Source organism: Homo sapiens, chromosome 20 (genome assembly GCF_000001405.40).
Source record: "Homo sapiens chromosome 20, GRCh38.p14 Primary Assembly".
Classification (NCBI taxonomy): Eukaryota; Metazoa; Chordata; class Mammalia; order Primates; family Hominidae; genus Homo; species Homo sapiens.
In genome coordinates, this window is record NC_000020.11 from 59,730,013 (window position 1) to 59,742,961 (window position 12,949).

At 49.1% G+C, this 12,949-nt stretch overlaps 1 protein-coding gene across 13 annotated transcripts in view; it reads left to right on the top strand.

The window, feature by feature from the left end:
• PHACTR3 (phosphatase and actin regulator 3) overlaps positions 1–12,949 on the top strand; it is a 270,203-nt gene that overhangs the window by 152,504 nt on the left and 104,750 nt on the right. The gene's annotated exons all lie outside the window — the stretch shown is intronic.

The window sequence follows — 12,949 nt, forward strand, 5'->3', positions numbered from 1 at the left end:
CTTGAGCACAGATGGACCTTCAGCCCATCTCCTTTTGGTTCTCATATACTTGTTGAGCCCTGGCTAGGCCCTCCTGAGCTCTGTTTCAGGGCCTGCAGAGGCTGCTGTACAGGTCACACTTGGTCTCTGCTCTCACGGTCAAGTAGCCAGGATGGACATAAAACTAATGAACACATACATCAAGAGCTAATTAAAAATTGTGCTGAAGGCCATGGTGGAAAAATAACAGGAAACCTAACAGGTGGGTAGGAAGGGTGAGACCATGAGGGATGAATAGGAGTTCATCAGAGAAAAGTGTTGCCTCCAGAGGGAATGGCACAGAAGGCAGCCCTATTGTGGGAAAGCACTTAATGAGCGAGGAGGGCCATGGTGGTAGAGAAGCTTAAGAAATGGAGGCCAGGGCTCTGGGGTTACAGTGGGGGTTTTATATTTCATCCTAAGAGCCACTGTGATGTCATGTGGGGAGCAATATAAGGCCCTGTTTGCTTGCTTGCTTGCGGGGTAGGCAGGAGTGGAAGCGGGAAACCAGGGCAGAGGCTGCAGAACTGTACAGGTGAAAGTGATGCTGGACTGCCCCCAGGGGTTAGAAGTGAAATGAAGATAAGAGATCAGGATCCAAAACCATTTATTCTCTCCCTTTTTCTTCTTGGGGCACCCAGTAGTATTTTTTCCCAGAAGACATTTCTTAAAGGATCACTTAAGCCAGGAACTGTCAAATGCACAAACCAAATGCACTTTCTACTAGTTTTTGCAAATAAAGTTTTATTGCAACATAGCCATGCCCATTAATTTATGTCCCATCTGTGGCTGCTTCACACTACAGCAGCAGAGCTGAGTGGCGGCAGCAGAGACTGTGTGGCCCGCAAAGCCTCAGAGTTTTATTATTTGGCCCCTTACAGAAGACATTTGCCAATTCCTGACCTAAGCAAAGTGAGTGAGGGACGCATTTTCAAAACACAAATCTGTTGGCTTAAAGTCTTCCTAGCACTTAAATGCATTTAATCCCTCTGAAAAATGCTAGAGTAGACACAGTTTTTAAATTGACTTTTGTTTTTCTTTAACCTTTTGCTGATATTATATATAAGAAACTCACCTTATGCTTTAGGTTTAGAAAGTCAGGGTTGGAACTCAGACTTTGAAGATGTTGTGTGATATTATTTCTCTAAATTTCTACTACAATACTAAAGTCTCCTGATGTGTTATTTCACTTTTTGTCCTTTCTCTGAAATGCTCATTTTCCTCCTTTTCTGTAAAATATAATCTCAGGGAAGAAGTTTGTAAAAGCAGCTTTTAGCCTTTGCAAAGATATAGGTGGGCCTCTTGTACAATAATTTTTATAAGAGTTTGTTCTTTGCAAATGCAGATGCATCCTACTAAGCCACATACAAAAAAATCATCACAATGATGACAACAACAAAGCCAATTTTCCAGATTCCACCTTTCTCCTTCCTCATCCTCTTCATGTTTGAATTTGTGCTGCCAAATTCTATAGAGCATTTTCAGATCCACTTGATTTACAGATTTGAGCTGAATTTCACTTGGAAAACTGACCATATGTCTGGCAGGCACCAGCGACCATTGGCAGTACTATAGGGTTGATACTAAACAGATGGGCTTTCTAGTTAGATGTGCTGTTTTTTCCACAATACATATGAGAAAGAAAAGAAGCCACTTTAATAATGTCTTGATTTTTCCACTGGTGTCAGAGTCATCAATGATGCCCATTTATGTAGTCTTAATTTCAGCATCATTGCGTGCAGGGTGCCTTAGACAGCTAGAAGAAGCTTAATGACTTGGGAAATTTTGAGGCCCAACTTCTGCCTAGATCTTAGAGAATCTTGTTATCTTTGGAATACAGATAGTGGATAAAAGACTTTTATAGTCCAAAAATAAATTATTAACACTATTTGTCAGGAATACATTCAAAGTTCTTAGTCCTGGGTTTATTGCTCAAACTATTTGACAGCTTTTGTGGGGTTATTGCAGTCTAGGCAGCAAGGTGTAAATAGCGGTTGTCTGATAGGTCTGTTTAGGAAAATCTAGCTAAACAACTGAATACGATTTCTTCCTGCAGAACTTCTCAGAGCCTATACTATGCTAATATGCACTGGGGCTCTCATGAAGAGGGTTTTAGTACAGACAGCATTTTCTAACTACTTTAATCCTCTCAGCATCTCCCTATGCTAGAGTTCCATGGAAAACACTTTGGGAAACACCGGTGTCATGCCTAGATGGTAAACTGAAGAGCAGAGAGGCTGCGGCAGACCTGCCATTTACCAGCTGTGTGACCTTGAACGAGTGCTTTCGTGCTCTGAGCCTCTACTTTTTAAATGTAAAATGGAGCTGAAAATATAGGCCCTGCCTGTTAGGGTTGTTTGCCTGGAATGAACATGCAGAAGGTTTTGGTGGCCTCCCTTTGGGCATTAAAATATAAGTTCTCCTAAAATTAAGTATTTATTCAATTCACAATTTTCCAGGGGCCAATTATTCACTCTGAAGCTTAGCCAGGCTTTTGTCTTTTCTTCTCTGTGCTTCTTAGCACCTCCACTAACCAGTAAAGGAGAGAAAGGAGATGCCCTTTGAGTTAAGGGCTGCTGAGGGGGCAGCCAGAAGAAGCCATGGCCAACATGAGGTCTAGAGGTGGCTCGGGAATTGCAGTTACCTTCCACTGTCGGGAGTCAGTGGGACAGCTCCAGGCCATTGTTAAAAACCATTGCCCTGCATTTGATTCTGCTTCCATTTTTGTATCATGGGATCAATCCACTCATTCATTTATTCACTCGCTCACTCATTTATTCAACCCACCTGCCAGGCACTGTGCTAGGTGCCGGAGGAGGAAGCGGACCCTAAGTCTAGGAATTGCATTGTGCAGTTGTTGAGGTCTCTGTTTCCCCTATACTGGAAAAGTCAGCAGTTAGTCCATCAAACAAGGGCTATAATCAGATTACAGATTTTGATGAATGAACTTGCAGGGCTGTAGAAAAAAGCCTATAAGCTTTTAGGAATAGAGCCATAGGCATTTAGCAGTATTTTCTTCCCTTTTTTGAATAAATTCACTCCTTTTTTTTTTTTTTTTTGCATCCCTCCCTGCCCTCCACCCAACACCAGCAAGCAGTTTATTCCTCCATTATAAGCAGTGTGACTATAAGACACTTGTCAAATGGTCTCACTTTGTCCTTGGATGGTATGACCCTTGTTTTGTTTTTATTGATCAGCACACCCAAAATATCATGCTCTTCAGTCATTACTTAGGAATTTTCTAGGGGTGGAGGAGGTCAAACCAAGAACTTTTACATTTGGGAGATTGAAATCTATTTCTAAAACTTGATTTTGGAGGTTCAGCTCCATTCTGGTGGTCACTCTCTGAAAATGCCCAGCACTTTTTCTGTAGATGGCTGTCAAGCCACATCTCTTGCAGCCTGGCCACAGGCAATTGGATTTTCAGTGCTCAGTGCTTCCGTGTGAGGTTATTGTATGTTGCTTTAAAGGTTAACTTCTTCCTCCTCCCAGCCCTATTTCTCCTTCCTCCTCCCAGATCTTAGACAGCAGTGTTATCATCTGCTCTGTGTCATCTAGCACAGGACTGGGAGAGGGGCGGAGTTGTCAAAGAGGCTGTGGGGTTAAGATCAGGGCTTTTACAGCAGATGACCTGAGTTCTAAGCTCCACTCTGTCGCTAACTAGCATGTGCCCTGGGGTAATTATTTCACATCTGTGTGCCTCCATTGTCCTCATCTGTAATGTAGGTGATGAAAATAGTTCTTCGCTTGCTAGGGTCTTGATGGAATACAATGAGCAAATTCATGCCAGGTGCTCAGCACTGAGCCTGTTGCACAGCAAATGCTCAGTAGATGCTTCCGTTGCTGATGACAGTGATGACAAAAACAAACCTTCGTATTCCTTGGCTCTTCCATATGTGTGAGTGCCCCCATCCTCTGCCTTCCTGCCTTCAGCCTTGTTCCCCCTACAGTCTGCCATCCTCACCGAGATTCCACGTGGTCTTCTCACAAGGCTGAACTTGCTCCAGGTCCCTCAATGACTCCACATTGTCCCCAGGACTCTTATCACAGCCACACAGCTCTTCTTGGTCAGGTCCCCACACGCCTTCCTAAGCTCACCTATGTCAACTCTGTTCCATAGACCATAAGCTCCAGCCTAAGGGTCCTCAAGTTCCAGTGCACAGACCCACACCAGCAAATTAAGAACACTAAGAGCAATGCAGTTGGGTTTTCATTTACGAATGTAGAATCAATTAATTTTTTTAAGAGACAGGGTCTTGCTCTGTTGCCCAGGCTGGAGCACAGTGGTGCAATTCACTGTAACCTGGAATTCCTGAGCTCAAGCAATCCTCCTGCCTCAGCCTCCTGAGTTGCTGGGACTACAGGTGTGCATAACCACACCGAGCTAATTTTTTTTTCCTTCGTTTTTGTAGAGACAGGGTCTCACTACGTTGCCCAGGCTGGGCTTGAACTCATGCCCTCAAGCAGCCCTCCTGCATTGGCTTCCCAAGCCACTGAGCCCAGGCCTAAAAATTCTGTTTGTTTGTTTTTTTCTGAGACTATATTTTTTCTATTATGTGTACTAAGTTGTGATGAACATAGATGATTGCTTTGTGTAGTGTGTGTGTGTGTTGGCCATTACTGCCATAATGAACATTAGCATATCTGTGTGGATCCCAATTTTATATGTGGAAATTTTACTGGGTTTCTGAGCCTTAGAGACTGGGGACCTCAGACCTAGCTTCCCCAAATGACTCCCCATTCCCCAAACACCATGTACTGCCATGCATTTATGAATTTGCACGTTTTACTAAAATCCTACTCAACCTCTAATACCCAACTCAATTATCACTACCTACTACCTCCCCTAGCTTCTAGTAGCCTTCTTAGAGTTATCCCACCCTCAAGCAGGAAAAGTTGCTTCCTCTGCTATTATAATCCTCTTTCTTGATTCTTCCTGGTGGTTCCAGGTACCTTAGTTTTCTCAGTGGTCACTGAGTCCCCCGGGAGAGAGGGTACCTAGCACCACTTTGTCCCTCAGGCCTAACACTGTGCTTTGTTCAAAGACAATGGTCTCCACGTATTGGTGTTACAGGTAAGGACTCAAAGAAGAAATAGAGGTCATATCTCAGCTTCTTATTTGCTTCTATTGTGGCTCATGTCACATTATGAGGTTGCCTTACACTTTCTGTGTTCCTTCTTTTCTCCTCCATAAATACATGAGCTTCATGCAGCGGGAAACTGCAGGCATGTTGATGGAATTTACTGCTCTGTCAAAACTCAGAGCAGTCCTGACACACAGCAGGCCCTCAGCCGATATGATGAATGGGTTTGTGAGTGAATGAATAAAACAAACAAGGAAAAAATTATTTTGCAATATTATCTGATAGAGATGGCACCTTTCTTCTCTAAGAAATCAGCCATGTAGCACATGGCACTGAGTACCTGACCTCACTCCCCCAGAGATATGGGGCTTTCCTTCCAATATGTTTTTGGGGAATTTCGTGAAGTGGAAGGATAAGATAAGATATCTTAGTGGATGAAAGATGAGGATGAAAAAATACCTGATGTCACTAAAGGGTGGACATCAAAGTCAGATGGACGAGGAACAGACCCTGGCTCCAGCGTTTGGCAGCCCTGCACTCCGGATTCACAGGGTCGAGCAGGTGTTTATTTGGGCAGCCCCTGGGTGCCAGGAACCAGCAAAGATGCGAGACCCAGCAACAAGCACGAGAGTGACGGTTCTCATTGTCATGGAGCTTATGTTTGTTCTCATGGGAAATGCAGATGACAGTCAATAAATAGTGAATCCCAGGGCACAATCTGAGAGTAATCAGAGCTAGGATGGAAGGAAATGTGAATAAAGGGATTGGCCCTGCACCAGGCATGGAAATTAGCCTGTAAGCTCCATGAGGTCAGTGTTCCGTCAGTCCTAGAACAGTTCTTGCCTCATAGCTCTGTGTGGCTGTTGATGGGGGAAAGGGATGGAGTTAGTTACCCAGGGACAAGTATACCAGCTACTGTGAGCCTGAGAGAGGCCTGGGAGAGGGCTGGCTGGAGTTGCCAAAGAGGCTGGAGCTTGTCCCTTGAGTTGCAAGCATGTGACATCAGCAGGGGAGGGCCAGCTGCCCCATCCATCATCTGAGGACTGAGGCTGTGTGTAGCACTTCCTCACACAGATGCCAGGTGTGACAGACATTTCCCATTAATTAACCTCTAATGCCTCAGAGGTGGCAGAGGTGCAGTGGAACCTGGCACTACTGTTATTCAGAGGCTGGGGGGTGGCTGCTAATGTGTTTGCACCTTCCAGAGTCTCTCCAGTGTGAGAAGGCAGTTCCTCAGGAACTGCAGGGAGAGACGGGGAGAGAATTCCTGGAGTGGGGGGAGGTGCTCCCATCTGTCCCTTCCCTCTGTGGACAGGTGTGCATGGGCCACATGCACCCGCCCACAGATGGCATCCCACCCATGCAGGTGCACACCCACCCACGCCCATGCACACTGGCTCCGCAGGTGCTCACCCGCCCACCCGTGTAGGTGCACACCCACCCATGCCCATGCATGCTGGCTCTGCAGTTGCTCACCCACCCACCCTCAGAGATACACACCTACCCACTCTGTGCACACCTGCCCACCAGCATCCGCAGGCCACACCGTGCCGTGGATGACCACACCTGCCCCGCTGTACACCTGCAGTGATGGGCTCATGTCCTCTGCCCTTGGAGGGGTTTGTAAGTAGTTTTCTCTGAGCAGCACTATTTTGAAGTTTCTCTTCTTGGGCGGAGAGTCATAGCTCTCACAAGCCCTCCCCTGGCACAGTCCTGGGCTTGAGCCACCCCAGGGAAGGCAGAGGGGAGAGGGAATTTCCTCCCAAGGGGGATGCAGAGCAGCACAGCCTGGGGCCCCTGGGCATGGGGTCTTCACTCCTCTGATGACAGTTGAGCCCCTTGAGGAGCTGCTTAGACTAAGGCATCTGTCCTGGTCAATGCATTGGATTTTTGGTTTAGGAGCAAAGGGTCTTTTGAGCTGAAGACCCTCTAGTGGCTCCCTGCTGAATTCTGAATCAGGTTCAAGTCCCTGACTACGACCCTGCCTGCCTCCCCAGCACATCCACGCCTCTCAACCACTGTTTCCTCCTGTCTTGGACAGCCTGCCCCTTTCCCATCATAGCCCCTGTCCTGTTCCCCACTGGGGCGGCCCTCTGGAGCACCCAGTGCTGACCCTGTCACAGTCGGTCAGTCGACACCTGCCCTCGAGGCTCCCTGAGGAGGCCCTGGGTCCTGTCCTTCCTCGCGTCTGTGGGGATCCTGGTTCAGGGCTCTCTATGTCCCCCTGGCACGTGCCTGAGCTGTTGCTGGCACTGGAGATACAGCTGCAAACATCCATCAAGGGCCTGCAGTCAGGAGCTTCAGCTCGGGGCATGGGCAGGAGGAGTGGAGACAACTACAAACAGGTAAACAAATGAGTGTGTGCGTGCATGTGCGTGTGTGTGTGTCTGTGTGCGTGCATGTGTGCGTGTATGTGTGTGCGTGCATGTGCATGTGTGTGTCTCTGTGTGCATGTGTGTGTGCGTGTGTGTGCATGCACACCAGCTGATACCTGTGATGAGAAAAATAAAGAGGAAGGCAAGAAATAGTGAGGAGTGCCATCCCACATGGGGTGAGCCAGGACTGTCTAAATTCATACCTTTATTCATTGTTCATCTCCTGCAGGTGAGTACAGCCCCACAAAGGCAGGCATCGTCTCTTTTGTTCACCTCTGCACACCCTGTGCCTATTAGGATACATGGCACATGGTTGGTGTCAGTACGTATTTGTTGAAAGGTGGAGTGAGTGAGTGAGTGAGTGAGTGAATTCTTAAAGGGAGAGAGGAGTGCAGTCTCCTCAGTGGCCAAAGTGCTCCCTCGCCAGCCCTCAGCTCTGCTGTGAGGACCACTGTGTGTCAGAGACGGGGTGGGAACCCCAGAACCTGCTCCAGCCACTAGGGCAGAAGTGGGGGGAGGCAGCTGATTAAAATAGTGCAGGTAGTGACGGTGGTCCTGGCAGTGATGGTGGTAGGGAGGGGGAGGCGCCACTGCCCCTCCTGCCCACCTTCCACCAGTGGAAGCAGTCACATAGCCACAGCAAGAAGGAGACACCATACCCCCCAGCAAGGCCCTGGCAAAGGGGATGCAGGGAGTCAATGCTTCAACCTCCTGTTAGTAAGTGGCAGGGCCAGGAGGGGAGCCTGGGGTGCCTGGTCCCAGCCCCCATGTTCTTCACAGCTACGTCACACTGGCTTCCATGGCACATGGCAAGCACTAATGCACAATAAGGATGATAATAAGGGGGAGGGAGCAGCAGAGCACAGAGAGCTGCACAAGTTTAGTGATTAACTTGGATTTTGTCCTAAATGAGAAGGGAAGCGAGCAGGAAGTGATAGGGTTAGAGCTCTATTTCTAAGACATCGGATCACAGGAAGACCAGTTGCTGGGGCAGGGATGCTGGTACTGGACCAGGGTTGTTATGATGCAGGTGGCAAAGAAAGTTGGGTTCAGGGTCTGATCTGTAGTTTATTCTGTGTGCTACTCCGTTTTGCCTTGGCTGCTAGGAAGCTCAGGGCACACAAATACCCTCCTCTGGAGCCCGTGTGGTGTCTGTCGTGGGGACCCACCTAACTCCTTGATGCTGTGGCCCTCAGCAGACCCTGATTCCTCCAGATCCTTCCTGACACTCCCTTCATCCTTCAGCTGTGTATGTGTGTTTCTGGTGATTGCTGCCGATCCTTTGTGAAGGAGGTGAGATATAAATAAAGCAATGATTATGCTCCATCCTCGTCTCCTCTGCTCATCCCTGGAGATCTTCGTCTTCATCTTCAGCTGAGCTTGGAGGCTTGGGGAGACCTAGCCCATCCTTCCCCTCGTGCAAAGCATGCTCAGGACAGCAGGCTTTCCCAGGGCCATGTGGAGTCACAGTCTTGCTCCCATCTGGTGTCTGTAGGTGGAGGAAGGAAAGGAGAGGATGAGAACATGGAATGCATTGTCTCTGAGAAGAGAAGGATCCCTGTACATCCCTCTGCCTCCCGTGGCCTTGGGGAGAGGGTGGCCGGGAGGATCTGTGGTTAATTGGTGTTCTGCAGCTGCCCTGGTTCCACACATTTCCTGGGCTCCCACTGGGTACCAGGCACTAGGTGCTGGGGTCGCCTCAAAAACACAGTGGAGGATGCCATTGCTGTAGCTCCCTTAATGGTTTGCAGAGCCCAGAATGTCAAACAAGACATTCCTGGGCTTGTCTTTCCCCATGGGGCTGCTTTGTGGAGCATCTGTGGACACAGCACCTAGCACAGTTAACACTTGTATTAGTCCGTTTTCATACTGCTACAAAGTGCCCCCGATAAAACAAAAAAGAACTGCCCAAGACTGCATGATTTATAAAAGAAAGAAGTTTAATTGGCTCAAAGTTTAGCATGGTTGGGGAAGCCTCAGAAAACTTACAATCATGGCAGAAGGTGAAGGGGAAGCAAGGCACCTTCTTCACAAGGCAGCAGGAAGGAGAAGTGCAGGGCGAAGGGGGAGGAGCCTCCCTTATAAAACCAACAGATCTCAAGAGAACTCACTCAATATCATGCGGACAGCATGGGGGAAACCACCTCCCTGATCCAATCACCTCCACCTGGTCTTTCTCTTGACACATGGAGATTATGGGGATTATAATTCAAGATGAGATTTGGGTGGGGACACAAAGCCTAACCATATCAGCACTCTATTAGTAATGCCTGGAGAGAATGACCTCATGCCCCAACCCACCTAGGGTGGGCCTGGTTTATCCTCTTGTCTTGGTGTCCCATCCTTCTGTGTTCTGCTTTGGGTCCCCTCGATGCAGCTTTGGAAGGTGAGAGGGGCCTCTGGAGTCAGGGTGCTCAAGGTCCTGCCCTGCCACAGCATTTCCCAGCTCTGAGACCAACAAAAAAATGGCTCAGGGCTCTGATCTTCAGTTTGTTCATCTGTAAAATGGATATAAAATGGAATGATCTCTAGCTCATAGATTTATTGTGAAGGTAAAATAGGACAATGCCTTAGGATAGTCCTGGCCCTGCACAGGCAGTGACCAGCGTTTACTCCATCATCATTATTCTATTGCTCATATCATAGAAATTATTATAATATAAATTTTGACCAAAAGTTACCTGCACTGGCATGGTATGTTAATCAGAGTGATGATAAAGTCTAGACATATAGATAATATTATTTTACATGGATGATAACATGAACTATTAATAAACTGTGTATTGTGGATGTTTATCTTTGTTTTCAGATTGTTTTTCATTTTAATTTTTTTTTAGAGACAGGGTCTCTCTCTCTGTAGCCCAGGCTGGAGTACAGGTGCAAATCATAGCTCACTGCAGTCTTGACCTCCTAGGCTCAAGTGATCCTCCTGTCTCCGACTCTTAAGTAGCATGCACCACCATGCCTGGGGAATTTCCAAAAATTTTTTTGTAGAGGTGGAGTCTCTGTGTTACCCAGGCTGGTCTCAAACTCTTGGGATCAAGGGATCCTCTAGCCTTGGCATCCCAAAGCATTACGATTACAGGCATGAGCCACTGTACTGGCCTTCCCAGAATTTATGACCACACTGAGTCCTCCCCTCAACCTTACCTATCAGGGATGATTATCATGGCATCTTTTTTTTTTATCAACAGATGTGGAAACCGAGGCTCCAAGGGGCCGGGTGGCTTACTCAAAGGCCCTGGGTTAGAGACAGGTGCAGCCCTTTGGAAGCCAGACCCCGTGGAAGCTCTAGAGGCTGCCAGGCAGGCCGCCTGTCACTGGGGGCACAGAGGTCACTGCCATGTGGGGCCTTGGGCCCTCGGGTGCTGCCTCATATGGCTCTTCTCAGGCTGAGCTCTGCAGAGCCCAGATTCAGAGCAGGCCGTCCTGGGCCTCCTTGGGGCAGCCAGTGGCATGCATGGGTGCCTTAGGTGGGAAATGCGGGAGTGTGACCCCTTCCCTGGGTCTGAGGGGCCTGGCCCATCATAATCCCCGGCCCCTTGGACACTGGTAATGCCCCTTCCCCTCGAACACTGGTGGTCTCCTTCCCTGTCCTCTCTGACAAAGGTGACCTCCTTCCTCAGGTGAGCCCTTGTGTTAGCCACACCGTCCAGCCCTTCTCCCTGCATGTCCATGCTTCCTGGGGCTCTGAGGTCTGCATCAGCTTAGGGCTCCCAGCCCCTTCCACAGGTAACAAGGCAAATTCACCTGCTGGCTGTGGAACTGACCACGCGCTGACCATGGGAGGCTGAGCCAGCTGTCGGGGAGTGTGTATGTTCGCAGGGCGAGGGGTCCTGGCAGAGGTCTGGGCTCCTGTGGTAGCAGCCGTGCTGGGGAGCACCCCACGGGTCTGCGATCTTCCTCCCCCAGCGACACTGGGAGGTTAAATCGGAGCCTGGTTGGGACTCAGGTCCTTGTTGCTGCCAGAAGAAACGTCCCTTCCCTGTCCCAGGAGGCATCTGGGGCAATGTGCTCATCTATTCTCAGTCCTGCCTGGGTGACGGCCTGAACTCTGCTCTACACTGTGACCCTAGGATGGAGGTGACGCTGGCTTACTTTGTGAGCTTCTCTAACTTTACCATTTTGTTAGTTGCATTTTGTTTCATTCTAACTAATCTTTCCTACTAAGGGACACACGGCTTGTGCTACAAAAACAGCCTGTGAAGCACATCTCCCTCTCTCCCCCGCCTGCCAACAGCCAGGGCTCCCCATTTCTTTCTTTCTTTTTTTTTTTTTTTCTTCTTTTTTTGAGACAGAGTCTCACCCTGTCACCCAGGCTGGAGTACAATGGTGTGATCTTGGCTCACTGCAACCTTTGCCTCCCGGGTTGAAACAATTATCCTGTCTCAGCCTCCTGAGTAGCTGGGATTACAGGTACCCGCCACCACACTCAGCTAATTTTTGTATTTTTAGTAGAGACGGGATTTCACCATGTCGGTCAGGCTGGTCTCGAACTCCTGACCTTGTGATCTGCCTGCCTGGGCCTCCCAAAGTGCTGGGATTATAGGCGTAAGCCACTGTGCCCAGCCCCGGGGTTCCCCATTTCTTTGGAGGGCCCACAGACATTTTCTCTCCACACACCAGTGTGTGCCTGTATACCACCCCTGTTCGCACACTGGTGGCGTGTGCGTGTGAATTTGTGCGCTGGGGTTTTCTTTGGCCTGATTATCTCAGATCAGTTTCCTGTCCGTGCTTGGAGATCCACTTTCTTTCTTTCTGCATCTGCACACAGGTGGTTGACAGGACAGACGATGACTTACCCAGTCCCCCTGTGGACGGGTATGTAGGTCGGTATGAGTCTCTTTTACAACAAACAGCACTGCCATGAGCTTCCTAGGACGTTCATCTTCACGTGTCCCAGAGTCTACAAACATGGCCGTTTCATGGACAAGGAAGGGGTCCAGGAGCACTGCTTCCTCTGCCTGCTCACAGACGTGCTCACAGACGTGCTCACTCTGCAGCCGTTTGCTCAGAATTCTCACCGGCCTGGCTCTGCGTTGGGTTCCAAGGCTGCCCCAGGCCTGGGCTCTACCCTAGAAGAGGTGGCAGCCTGGTGGGAGGGCAGGCAGGCAGAGGTCTTTGCGGCTCATTGGTGCCTGCATAGGTAGCTTCATGGGCGTAAGACAAGGGAGTGACCCTGTCTGGGACAAGAGGAAGGTAAAGACTCTGGACAAAGTCCTATTCAATGGAGGAGCTGAAGTTTATGAGGCAGAGAAGCGGCTGGGAGGGAGAGCAGCGTGGGTGGAGGGCAGAGCACGAGCAAGGGTCCTGGGCAGGCAGCGTTTCATGCTGGAATTAGGAACATCTTCACACGTGGCGCGTCATATGGCGGAAGGCGAAGGCTTCTGGTGGCCGTGAGTGGGTCGCAGGAGGGAGGGTCTCACAGAGGGAAATTCAGCGCACGCTGCTGAGCTGCTGCGGCCACTGTGG